General features: G+C 37.9%; 1 protein-coding gene across 26 annotated transcripts in view; it reads left to right on the forward strand.

The window, feature by feature from the left end:
- The window catches only part of GRIA4 (glutamate ionotropic receptor AMPA type subunit 4), a 372,097-nt gene that overhangs the window by 200,372 nt on the left and 157,663 nt on the right, over positions 1 to 14,062 (forward strand). The window lies entirely within an intron of this gene.

Here is a 14,062-nt window from a genome sequence, read left to right on the forward strand (position 1 = left end):
AGTAGTTCTTGACCCAAGAGACAGGTTTAGTTGCTCTCACTAACCATCTGGCCACTATTGGAGAGGACCTAATAGACTCCAGGCAATGACATTTGCCATGCAAGTCAGTTTAATGAACCTGCCACAGAAAGCCCATCTTTAAAAAGCCACCCTATTAGGTCCTGGAGGCATCAGTCCTCAAGAAGGCTAAAAAGGGTGCACATCTCTGTCAGTAACAAAACATAACCAAGCCTCTTCTTGATGATGGGTTAGGGGGAAAAGAAAAGGAAATTCCATGAGGAGCTTTCTCAAAATATACCTGACCCCGACCTTCCTCCTGAGATACAGCTGAACTACTAAAAAGAAGTTATATATAAATTGTAAAGCCTGCCTGAATATTCAGATAATCCCCCCACCCCACCCTAGCACCTTTCAGAGTTTCACCTGACTCCTCAAGTTAGTAGTAAGCAGACTTTTGGCATAAGCCACAAAAAGGGTAAGTTGTAGGTCGCCTTCTCCAAAATTATTTTTATGAGAAAATGTAATATCTGCAACTGTGTTAAGCATTTTTTTTAAAAAAAACTATTATTGATTACTGCTTATTTTTTTATGGCTACGATTTCTGAAGCTGTCTAGCATGTATGCAATCCTTATTGTAGTGCTACAATTTTTAGCAAATTTATATGCAAGATGAGTGGAGGGAGAGGGTTGAACTATTTGGGAGCGATGAGTTGCATTTTTACCACAGCACAATTCCCCTTCCCTCAGTTATAAAATTAACCATGCAGGCATTCTTTATGTAGTTAGAGGAGAGAGAAAGCCCATGATCAGCTGTTAAGAGGGCTGCAGGGAACACAGCAGCACAACTGAGATTCGAGGGTAAGGAAAATGTATTAAAAACACATTGTGACTTTCAGATGTCCTTCACCAGTCTTAGACTATAGAAGAGATATAAATGAAAACTCTTACTGCAACTTATCTGGAAGGCAGAGGCAGACAGAGAGACCTCTAATCCATCTCTTTAGTTCCTTTTTCTCTCACCCCATCTCCCACATTCTTTTGGCGTGGCAAGTCCCAAATGTCACATCCCCAGAGGCAGCCTCTGGTAGTAGCAGCTTCGAGGTCCCATCCTGTCAGTGAACGAAGGGGTGACTGGAATTGCTCAGTCTGGGGAGGATTTTCTTAATGCTCATCCACGAATAAGAAAATGGCATTGTCTACATGTTTTAATGTTTTGAAAAAAATGAGACTGGGGTTGAGCTGCCCGACAAAATGCAAGACACCCAGTTAAATTTAAATTTCAGATAAACAATGCAGCAAATTTTTTGGAAAAGTGTGTTACAAATGTTGCATGGGACATATTAAAAAATATTTGATATGTATCTGAAATTCAAATTCACCTGAGCATCCTGCATTTTTACCTGCTATACCTGGCAACCTTCAACTCAGACCACATTAAAAAACTAGGCCATGACGAAGCAGGTAACTGACATTCAGGGTTTGTACTCACTTTCCAACTGTTAAGTGCTTTCTCTGGGCTCGAATTCACAAAGACCAGCACCCTTGTGGTACCCATTTGATCTGTTCCTACCCCTGAGTTTCACCTCCTCCCCTCTCCCCCATGCTTTTTAGGAAAGGAATCTGCAGACCGTGATTTTAGAGTAAGATGCTCCATTACTGCACTCAGGGCGGGTGCCTGGAAGGCTGGGAGAGTGCGAGCAGGAGAAAAGAAAACAGACAAAGCAAATTTTCAATACCTCGCATCTTGCCAAGGATGAGCTCTGTTTAGTTAGAACATATTCATTTTTTTCACAAAGACCTTTGAGTTCCTTCAGGGAGCCAGCATTCCTTTGTTTTCTCTGCATGATTGTCCACTTGCTGGTGGAATCCCTTCTCAATTTCTACCTGTGTGTCTCCACCCTTCACCATGTAACATATAAGGGTTCCTTTGGCTTTATTTGATATGAATTTATGGGTAAACCAGGTTTGGTGAATTTGTTGTGAATAGTTGGCAATGAAAAATATTATTCCACTACCTGGGACCATCTTCTAGTGTGATATCATAGTGGTCCATGTGAGGGCTTGAAAATCAGCCACACCTTGATTTGAGTCCCTTTTCTGTTACCTACTACCATCTTTGTCTTTTTAGGAAATTAACATAACTTTTATGAACCAAATTTTTTATCTTTGAAATAGTAATAGTAGTGACTTAATTGGGTCTTGGAGTGCATTAAAAAAGAATATGAATATCAAGTGACAAGCAGGATGGGAACACAATGTCCCTCTTTCCCCTCCACTTCCCCATAGGGCTGTATCACAAATAGTTAATATTGTTAACCCAAATTAGAACTCTGGGCTTCTGAATCATACCCTACTCGCTAAATCATTCTGCTCATAAATAGAGATATTTTTATAGATTTTGGAAGGGAAGATTATGAAAAAGGGCTTTGATTCTTACTTAAAAGAAAGAAATTGGCCTAGCATGGTGGCTCACGCCTGTTAATCCCAGCACTTTGGCAGGCCAAGGCGGGCGGATCACGAGGTCAGGAGATCGAGACCATCCCGGCTAACATGGTGAAACCCCGTCTCTACTAAAAATACAAAAAATTAGCTGGGCATAATGGTGGGCACCTGTAGTCCTCGGGAGGCTGAGGCAGGAAAATGGCGTGAACCTGGGAGGCGGAGCTTGCAGTGAGCCAAGATCGTGCCACTGCACTCCAGCCTGGGCAACAGAGTGAGACTCCATCTCAAAAAAAAAAAAAAAAAAAAAAGAAGAAAGAAAAAATTTAGGAATGACCAGCTGGTCTCCTCATCTAGGCTGGGAAATAAATACCACAGTTATCCTGAGGAGTGAGACATGCCATTTTTTATAAGGGTAGAGGGAAATGGGGGAAGGAAGAGGAATCATAAAACTACCTCTCATCTGTTCCTATTCAGACAATGGAATAACTGAAGATTCTTAATAAAGAAGATTTCATCCATTAATTTGTTTCATATTTAGCAATGCTATGTAGAGTTTGAAATATTTTCAGGAATTGAAAAGTGGTAATAAAATTGATGTAAAGTGAAGAAAATTTCAAGGAGGAGACTGATATACAGACAACCCTGCTTGTACTTTATGAATGACTCCAAGTGGATAAGCAATCAATATTTTCCCGTGAAGAAACATGGTGTTGGGACACTATTGCGTTGCTTAGTTCCAGTTCTAACTAGGCTCTAGGAAAGCCCCTAACCAATAAGGGTGGTAAGTGGATAGGTTCTGGAGTCAAGAAATAAGGCTTTGAATAAGTGCTCTGCCACTCACCAGGTATGCAACATTTGGACAATTTACCAAAACCCATCTAACCCCTCATTTTCTTATTGGTATAAAATAGGATTCCAGTAGTGTTCTTCTCTCCTCAGAAAGTGCTGAGTGCCTAATATGTGCTTGGCTGTGTGCTCAAAGTGCTGAGGATACATGAACAAAACAAGATAGACAATGACAGATCATAACAGCATGAAAAAAATAAATAAGAGGACATGAGAGAGACAAACTCTGTCTCATGAGAGAGAGAGTGGGCGGTTGCTTTAATAGGTGGTCCTGGAAAGCCTGTCTTTCAGGTGATATTTCTGCTAAGATCCGAATAGAAGAGAGAATCAGTCCTGCAAAGAACAACAATAGCAACAACAAAAAAAGGCAAAAACCTTCCAGGGGATGAAACAGCAAGTGCAAATGTGCTGAACCAAAAAAGAACTTGATGTGTTGCAAAATGAGCAAGGAAGGAGGGGTGTGAGTTGAGGTCAGTGAGAGAATCAAGGCCTTTAGCACATGGTGAAAAGTTCAGGTTTCATTTTAAGTGCAAAGTAAGTCCATGAGGATTTTTAAAGGGATGGCATGATCTGATTTATACTTTTGAAAAATCACTGTGGCTGCTATGGGGGAAAATGGACATTAATGTCTGGTACGTAGTGTCAAATAAATGCTAGTAATTAATATACTATTATTTATGTAATGGTACCTCTGCTACACATTATTGTTGATATTACTATTGATTCACACTCAAAGTATTAATGAAAGTGTCCTGTGTATGACGAGCCTGTGCAGAAATTAAAATGATATGGCAACTACTACTAAGTAGGATAAGTTATTCTGCAGCAAATGTTGTTTGTGTGTAGGCTTGAGCAAGTTAATCTCTATGAATTTCAGTCCTTTGATTTGTAAAATGGTAATAATAGTAAAGCAATTGTAGGATCTAAATGAGAAAACGTATATAAAATGCGTAGTAGAGTGACAGATAGTAGGCAAATAACTAATATTACCCATTATTACCATTTTAAGTGTATACAGAAAGGGAAAAAAAGAATTGGCTACATTTTTTAGCTTCAGACTCTTAAGAACATGAAATATATACAGAAATAAATGCATAGCAATTAGTATGAGCATCTATTCTCTTACAATCCTGTATAGCCCTTTCCCTTATTCCTGTCACTATAGGGAATCTCTTCCAATTAGTTCATGGAGAATCCTTACCAAAAATGGGGTAGATCTTATTTTCCTATAACCACAGAGGTGAATATATGGCCCAGAGTTGGACAAACTACAGTGTTCCCTTCCCAGCCATAGTGATTGGTTCAGAGTAGGGCATGTGACCCAAGCTTGGCCAGTCAGGGTCTATCCATGGACTTATCTGCCACAGCAATAAGAAAAGACTGTTGCTTTCCTAGAGTGGAAATGCAGATAAGTTGAGTCTAGGGCTACCACTAGCCCTTTTTGCTTATTGAGAGATAGAGTGACAGAGTCCTGACAACAGTATTTAAGGCTCTGAACCAAACAATACCTAAAACCAGCCTTCCTACCTGACATCTCCAGTTACATGAATCAATAAATTCTCTTTTTGCTTAAACCGGTATGATGAATCAATGATTCTTGTCTAATAGAACCATGCAATTTAAGATCAGTTCTGGAAGTACATTCATCCATTTGGGGCACAAATTTGCTGTTCCCCAAAACAAATCCTTTACTTGGTTTAGGAAAAGGGATTGAGAAATAGTGTTAGGTGCAAAAGAAGTGTTGATAGTTAAGACTCTATTATCTAATGGAAAGGTAGATGGGAATGTTTCCCTTCCCAGAGCCCTGCTATTCTTCCTACTTTTCATCTGTCCTCTCACCTGACACCCGAATGCCCTCATGTGTTGGGTCACCTTCAGTTCTGAGAGCTTTCTGAGTCTTTTATGCTGCCTAGTCCATCTGCTGTTGATGCCGCTCCAGCTGTTACTGCCGAAAGCTGAGTGCAAAACTTTTAAATACACTGCCAAGTATGTTTAAGGGGTTTATATGAATGAAAAACGACCAAAAAAAAAAATGTGGATGAGTCCTAAGAGGATTTCTTCTTTCTCACTTCTAAAGCATTAACAGAGTTTGGAAATAAAGTCTGCTATACTTAAGTTCTCAATAAATATTTTAGGAAATCAAGATAGCTTCAAGAAATGTAAAATTTTAAGGCCTTACCTTCTTATGAAATCTCACAGACATTTCATATGATTTAGTTTAATACTGTGTCAAGATATTTATCCATTTATTCAGGCAGTAAAGCTACACATTTCCAGGAATGAATTTAATTAAGCACAACTCTTCCTTACTGCCTAGCACCCCTCCTTTAATGCTTACCATGCTTTTGACCCCAACTCACACTCTGCATGCACGTGAGATAGCATGACGTAACAAGAGGCAGCACAGTATAATAAGAACATATGGGCTTTGGATTTCCTATTCCCAGATCTCTGCCCACACGTCCTAGGTCTATCGATCTTGGGCCAGGCACTTCACTTCTCTGTGCATTGGCCTTCTCGTCAGGAAAATATTACCTATCCTGTAAAGTTGTTTGTATTTAAAAATAGTATTAATACAGGTGTGTTGTGATATAGTTTGGATATGTGTCCTTGCCCAAATCTCATAGTGAAATGTAATTCCCACTGTTGGAGGTAGGGCCTAGTGGGAGATAATTGGATCATGGGAGTAGATTTCTCATGAATGGTTTACCACCATCCCTCTTGATCCTGTTCTCATGATAGTGAGTGAGTTCTCATGAGATCTGTTTGTTTAAAAGTGTGTACTACCTCACCCCTCGGTCTCTTGCTCCTGCTTTCACCATGTAATGTGCAAACTCCTGTTTCACCTTCTGCTATGATTGTAAGCTTCTAGAGGCCTCCCCAGAAGCAGATGCTTTCTGTACAGCCTGCAGAACCATGAACCAAATAAACGTCTTTTCTTATAAATTACCCAGTCTCAGATATTTCTTAATAGCAATGCAACAATGGCCTAATACATGATGTCTCATAGTGTCTTACATATTATAATAGATTATTTCCATCAGTAGCAGAGTATAGTGGTTAAAAGCTCAGGCTCTGTCTGGGTGCAGTGGCCACACCTATAATCCCAGCAAGTTGGGAGGCCGAAGCAGGAGAATCACTTGAGGCCAGGAAACTGAGACCAGCCTGGGCAACTTAGTGAGACCCCATGTCTACAAAAAATAAAAATAAAAAATTAGCCTGGATGGTGGTGCATGCCCATAGTCCTAGATACTCAGGAGGAAGGCTGAGAAGGGAGGACTGTTTGAGCCCAGGATTTCAAGCCTGCAGTGAGCTATGATTGTGCTACTGAATTCCAGCCTGGGTAACAAGTGAAACAGAGTGAAACCCTGTCTCTTTAAAAACAAACTAACTCAGGTTCTGAAATCCAACTGCTGGGGTTTGAATCCCAGCCTCTTCACTTACTAGCTTTGTTGTATTAGGCAAGTTGCTTATCCTCTCAAAGCTGCAATTTCCTCATCTTTAATGGGGAAATATTGATAGTATCTATCTTGTTAGTGTGCCATGGAGATTAAATGAAATGTTGGTAAATCATCATTTTTCTCAAACTTACTCAGTGAAATAGTAGTGAATTATCACAAAAGCAACATTCTAGTTATAAGATAACATGAAAGGGGAATTAAGAATTTTTGAGTATCTAGTATGGACCATGGCTTATGACTAGAGCAGTGAAAAAACTTATTGTGGTGTTTACACATCTGCATTCATATAGCATTGATACAACATTTGGGTGCTTTATAGTAATAAATCTGAAAACTAGCTCAGTGTTGTGGCCAGAGTAAAGTAATAGTTTTTAAATTTTTTTTTCTATTCATTCCTTTACAACTAGAGCAAGATGTGTCAGGTGTATCATACATTTCCAAACATTGTCATGTAAAGAGGACACTTTAAATTTTCATTAAATCTCATAGTGATAGTTATAAATGATAGGATAAATTCCATTTCAAAATAATTACCAATATTTTCTGTAAATTCAGTAGATTCTTGTAAGATTTATATTTTGAATACATTACAGAATATCGTACATTATATATAGAGAGTATTTCTTGCCTACTTGTGCCTTCTAATTAATCTTACATAGTAACAAAAGGAAGATATTTCTAGTAGTGAAGATCAGTGTACGTGCAGAACCATATTATTACAACATAGGAATCTGTAAGCACGATGAAAAACAGCCAAAGGACATGCATCAGAAATTAAATCCAGTGGAAAATATGGCAATCATTTTAATTTACTGAAGCAAGCACCTACACAAAGCAAGAACACAGAGCAGAGATAAAAATGCTGTAGAATAGAGCTCAGGAAAGTAGTGTAAGAAGAAAAATAAATGGAAATAAATGTGGAATTAGAAAGACAAAGGAGAATGAACATTGCTAAAAATACAGCATGGGTCATAAAAAGTGACCAAAATAAAATAGGTAAAGAGTTTTCAAGGATTAGATAGCAAATTACAGGTATAGAAGAGAAGACAGGCACAGGAGATCCCCAGAATGCATAAATTGAGTCCCAAGTGTTGGTTAGAAAAAGGTGATGTTTGGTTTGAAGACTAATGAGCTAGAACTTGCCTGTGCCACCCTCATATGCAAATGTCCCACAGACTGTTGGAAGTGCAGGTCTGTTACTCAGGGAAGAGATGAATGCTACCTCACTGATACGTTTGTTTTTACATTCAGAGAGTGGCCTGGGTAACCTACTGCACAGCAAAATAACCTGCATGCCTGGCTGGTCACAATTCCATCCATTATAACCACTAATACTCACAGGTAAAGAACGAATCTTCATCTTGCTTGCTTACTATGTTATTTTTCTCCAACTATTCAATTAATATTTTATTACATATAATAATAGCAACAGAGATAATTCAGATGGATAGCATTCCCAGAATGTTCACAAACATCCTCTAAATAAAGCTTTTGTCACCTTAGAGCATAAAATGCCTGCCTAGAGCAATTACATGACAAATACAACTTTCACATACTGACATCTTCCCTTCCTGTGCACTGGAGAGGGCATAATGGGAACCAAATGGCCAAAGGGCAAGGAATAGGACAGAAAAGGCAGGCACAGAAGGGCTTGAGCTAATAGCCAGATATAAGTAACCTTTACTCCATGATGCTGACATCCATTTAATATAGGCCTCTGAAAATTGCTAGCAGTTTGATATGGGATTTTAGAAGTCATATGTTTTGAAACTTAACTAATCCCTTGTTTTTAATTTAATTTTTATGCATGTGTAACAAAGTCAAGCTACGTTAATTAGGTTAAATTTCATGACCACACCTTTTATACAAGGAAATCAGGACAATGGAAAACAATTTTTCTCTTCATCTTTCTAAGGTACATGGATTAAGGACTGAAAAAGCAGCCATTTGGGTTTGGACACTGTCAGTTTATTTTAGTATATAATTTGTCCTTTGAGGCATGGTGAAACATTTATGATTTCAAGAACTAGGGCAACTAAAGGTGGAAAAGTAGAAATGGCTCTTTACTTATTTATGTGCATGCTCTGATTGAAAGACATACAGGGAAGAATCTCAGAACCTGTGGTCTAATACCATACTATCTGATTTTGGATCCTGGCTCTAACTCTTACTATTTTTATGACCTTGTGTAAGGCAGTTAATATCTCTGTACCTCCATTTCCTCATCTGTAAAATAAAAATGATCATGAGCCTATTTTGGTGACAATTAATTCTCATAAATCACTCATAACAGTACTCAGCACATAACATGCACTCAATTAATTTTAACTCCCATTAATTGCATCTTTACAAGCAATCAGAAAATTATACTTTCTTACTGAAAAATACAATCTTAGGTATCGTTGACAGTGTACCAAAAATTCAGTTAAAGAATACTTATATTTCATATCCATAGTTCAAATATAACATTTGTGGGAGTTTCTCTACTCTCTGAGGGGTGATAGGCACATGAAACGCTCCTGGGTAGGGGGTAAGGGTAGATAAAATTGCATGAAAAGTCTTACTTTATAACATGTATACATTATCACACATTATTATATTTAAATCTCTCAGCAACACAATGAAATAAATAGGTATTACTATTATCTCTGATATGCATTGAACTGTGTTCATCTAAAAAATGATATGTTGAAATTCTCACCCTCATTACCTCAGAACATGAACTTATTTGGATGTAGAGTCATTGAAGATGTAATTAGTTAAGATGAAGCCATCCTGGAGCAGGGTGGGCCTCTAACCCAGTGTGACTAGTATCCTTATAAGAAGATGGTTATGTGAAGATGGAGATACACAGGAAGAACACCATGTCACCACAAAGGCAGAGGTTGAAGTTATACTACTCCAAGCCAAAAAATGACAAAGATTGCGGGAAAACCACCAGAAACTAGGAAGAGGCAGGGCAAGAGTACCCTCCAAGCTTCAGAGGGAGCATGGCCCTTCAGAGGGAGCAGACTTCAGACTTCTAGCCCCTACAATTGTGATACAATAAATTTATGTTGTTTTAAACTACCCAATCTGTGGCACTTTGTTTCCACATCCCTAGGAAACTGAAATAATCCTCTTTTCACAGATAAGGAAACTCAGGCCTAGAGAGTAAGATCACACAACTAGTAGGTAAAGGAAACCATTTTTGCATTCAAAGCACAACTTTTTCTATTGAGACATCTTGTCTCTTTCCATCATTCCTTTGCACACTGTTCACTCCAGCCGTGCTCTTCATAACCCTTCCTCAAACATGCCAGTCATGGACCCTCTTTATCTTTGGTCATAGGGAAAAAATATATATTTATTTGTCGGCTCCCCCATGCCAGGCATCTCACTGGGCAGTTTTCATATGCAATGTTCTCTCAGTCTTGCATATGAAATGAATTTTCTGCCATTTTTCCTACATGAAAATCCTCATTCTTCAACTGCCAAGTGAAATTCTCCAAATCCATCAAGCTTTCCATCTATGTTGTCAGAATTATTTTTTTTCTGTTTATTTCCATTGATCTCTAATTATTTATTATTCCATTTATCTCTAATTTTTGTTTGTAGGTGATTCATAGTCTATAGCATTCTGTCAATTTCACTGAATTTTAAGATCTTTAGAGACAGGGTCAGAAATGTAATAGCCCTTTAAGGAACAACAGACAAAGTCACTAAAATTTTTACTTAGACTCCACAATCTGAAATGTAGCTTTTCCTGATTTACATATGCCATATGCAATCTTTGTCTTATTTTCCAAACCAAAAATTGGTCAGCAGGCTGTTAAGAACAGAAGAGCGAAAACTTCCCTGATGGTATATGAGGCCTGAACGTTTATTAGTTTTTGTTATTGTTTTTGTGTTTAAATTGGTTCTCTATTTACTGTACCATTGACCTCTCTTCCTCACTCTCATACCTTCTGTTCAATTTGAAATTTCACTGAATGTTTAGACATCCAAAACTGAGAGCTCACTCAGTTTCAACACTCAATAAAAAGGTGAGATAAAAGCTTAAATTTTCATAAAGTAAAAGTCAAAATTTGTACTTTAGAACATGGTTTCAGAAAATAATAACAACAATATAGGAAAACAAAGGAAAATCAAAATCTGAATGATTTAGTTAAAATTGTATTGAAGCAATTTGATTTTGGCAATATTGTTCCCTCTGAAGAAATTGTAGGAGGGGGTATTAGGTCGTTCTTGCATTGCTATAAAGAAATAACTGAAACTGGGTGATTTATAAAGAAAAGATGTTTAATTGGCTCATGGTTCTACAGGCTGTACAGGAAGCATAGTCCTGGCATCTGCTTGGCTTCTGATGAGGCTTAAGGAAGCTTATAATCACGGTGGAAGGCAAAGGGAGAGCCGGTGTCTCACATGGCAGAAGCAGGAGCAAGAGAGAGAGGGCGGGGGAGGAAATGCCACATTTTACAACCACCAGATCATGTGAGAACTCACTTATTTCAAAGACAGCACCCAGCCATGAGGGATCCACCCCCATGACTCAAACACCTCCCACCAGACCCCACCTCCAATAGTAAGGATTACAATTCAACGTGAGATTTGGGCAGGGATAAATATCCAAAGTATATCAGAGACTCTTCATAATTTGAATTCTGTAAATTTCATTTCTTGTTCATAATTTTCCCATAAAATTTATGCTAAAAAAATTCTTAATACCCACACACACTTAACACATTATGCCAGTAACTGGCACAAACCATGACTTATCATATTAAGCCGAGTCAGGCTGATCTCACTGCTGCTTCGAGGTACCCATAAAATGCAGCAGAACTACTGCACATTGCAGGTGAGCTAGACTCTGCTGCGCTCGCCACGCAGGTTCCCAGAACCGGGAAAATCCTTTTGCTGTAGAACAATTTGCGTTACAAAGAGATGCTAATACCTAAAGCATAAGTGTAACTGAAATGCTTAGCTTTAAGCCAGGCTGTGCCTTTGTAGACGTAGGGTTATTTAAACTCCTGTAGCATCTTTCTTCAGAGTAATGAGGAACTTGACAAATAATATAAATATAATTTCATGACTGGCATGCAATAATAATCAAGATAAAGTTTAAATGCCAGGCAAAAGACATATAGCTAGGAGTGCTGCCCAATGCCTACCCCAGAGGAAATCAGAGTGGCTCTTTGAGTAAAAGAATGTGAAGTTTCTTTTACTCAAGACCTTTCTGTTTTCTTTCAGTTTGATTTAACAGAATTATGAGGGGGGAAAAATGAGAGGAAGTCAGACACACACTATAAATGTTTATACTTATGCAGGTCAGTGTCACCAAGTAGGTTGCAAAGTCTTAGGAGGGAAATTTGTTCTCATTACCTTTACATGTCTGTAACACTTAGCATAATGTCTGGCATAATGTCTGAGCAATGGTAGGGTGCTCAGGGAATGCAATGATTTTTCAACCCAAATTTTCCTTTTACCATATTTGTTCATGTGCTTCTTCAATTATATGTTCATGTAATTTTACTTAAATTTTGTTTTGCTTTGGTAATTGAGTAATTAAAACAAAGTATGGTGAATTGGAGTTTAATTATCCTTGTGGTATGTTTTAATATCTTCTTAACATAATAATAGTATAATGCCAGTTAAGAAAGTGAAACCATCTGGAAAAAGAAGATGGGGTTAATATGTCACAAAAGTATATAATAAAAATTGATTTTCTTATGGGAGTGTATAATATTTGCAAGGCAATTATTTGCAAGGACTGAGTAGAGTGTAAATGTTGAGTAAATGTATTTTTGGTTATTACTCTTTCTGCTGTCTTTAATACAATTGATGCTTCTGAACATTTCTTCTTCTATCATGTTGTAAGTACTGAGTTCTTTTCAGTATGTATTTATAGCCTCTTCCAATGTTTTCTGCTATTTTAGAATGATAGTGGTACCAGGCAATATATTAACTCTCTTAGTTCAATCCCATTTCATATTTCCCCATTAATCTTGTTCAGGATTTCTGTCAGGATCTTCTCAAATGCATTGTGATAAAGCAGGATTCATATCACTGCTTACAAAACTTCATTTGGAATCACAATATTTGTTGGCAGATTCATGTATGTCTCCCAGTGGATTTAACCAGAGCTAGTTCTGACTTATGGAACACAGCTTGAATTACAGAAGCCACTATTTACAGACCGAAGAGGTGGATTTCTTTTTTTTCTTCTCTTGTCATAAACATCCAATTTCTTCTACAAGAACAGGCAAGAATTCTGCGGTTAGGTTCTTGTGGAAAAAAACATAAGGTAATAAGTCAAAAAGAGAAGAAAAAATACAGAAAACGGGACAAAACATGGATAAGAGGCTTGAAGAACTGCTGATGGGAACCCAAGAAAGCAGGTGGTGGAAAGGACATTTTGCAGAATTGAGTGGATACAGCTGATGAAAAGAGTGGTGTGGCATTATCCCAAGATATTGTGGTTACTGCTATCTTATCTGAAACATAATAAATAAATCTAAAATTAAATGTTTCTAAGTCTTGGCATAATGAACAAAGTATAATAAGATCTATGGATATTGCAATTGGGACTGACAATGGAGTTTGATGCTCCAGATAATTATTGCCTTCTACATGGTTTACATCTAAAGGAGGTTTTTGAGACGGGATTTTTTAATTATTAATGCATGTTTCATGGGCTGAATTGTATCCCCCTCCAAATTCATATGTTGTAAGCCTAACCCCCCGTACATCAGAATATAATTGTATTTGGAGATGATCCTTTTGAGATAAGATTAAGTTAAAATGAAGCCATTAGTGTGGTCCCTAATCCAATTTGACTGATGTCCTTATACAAAGGGAATTTGGACATACAGAGACACCAGTGGTGCATGTGCACAAAGGAGAGACCATGTGAGGATGGAGGGAGAAGGCAGCCATCTGCTAGCCAAGGATAGAGGCCCCAGAAGAAACCAAACCTGCTGACAGCCTGATCTTGGACTTCTAATCTCCGGAACTGTGAAAAAGAAATCTCTGCTGTTTAAGTCATCCAGGCTGTGGTGTTTTGTTATGGCAGCCTTAGCAGACCAATACAGTAGGCATATAGTTTTAAAAGTCAAACAGTTCAGTTAGGCTTAAGAACATCCCACAGCCTCTGGTTCCACCCCCTGTTCATCCCAATTCTCACTCTCAATGGCAACCACTTTCAGCTGTTTTAGTTGTTTCTTATGGTGTATACTTCTTTATTCTCAAATAGCATTTTATACTATTTCTTAATTTTTTATTAAACAATATCTGACTTCCTACTATGGAAGATGAAGATGTAGCTCCCCAACAGC

Source organism: Homo sapiens, chromosome 11 (assembly GCF_000001405.40).
Source record: "Homo sapiens chromosome 11, GRCh38.p14 Primary Assembly".
Classification (NCBI taxonomy): Eukaryota; Metazoa; Chordata; class Mammalia; order Primates; family Hominidae; genus Homo; species Homo sapiens.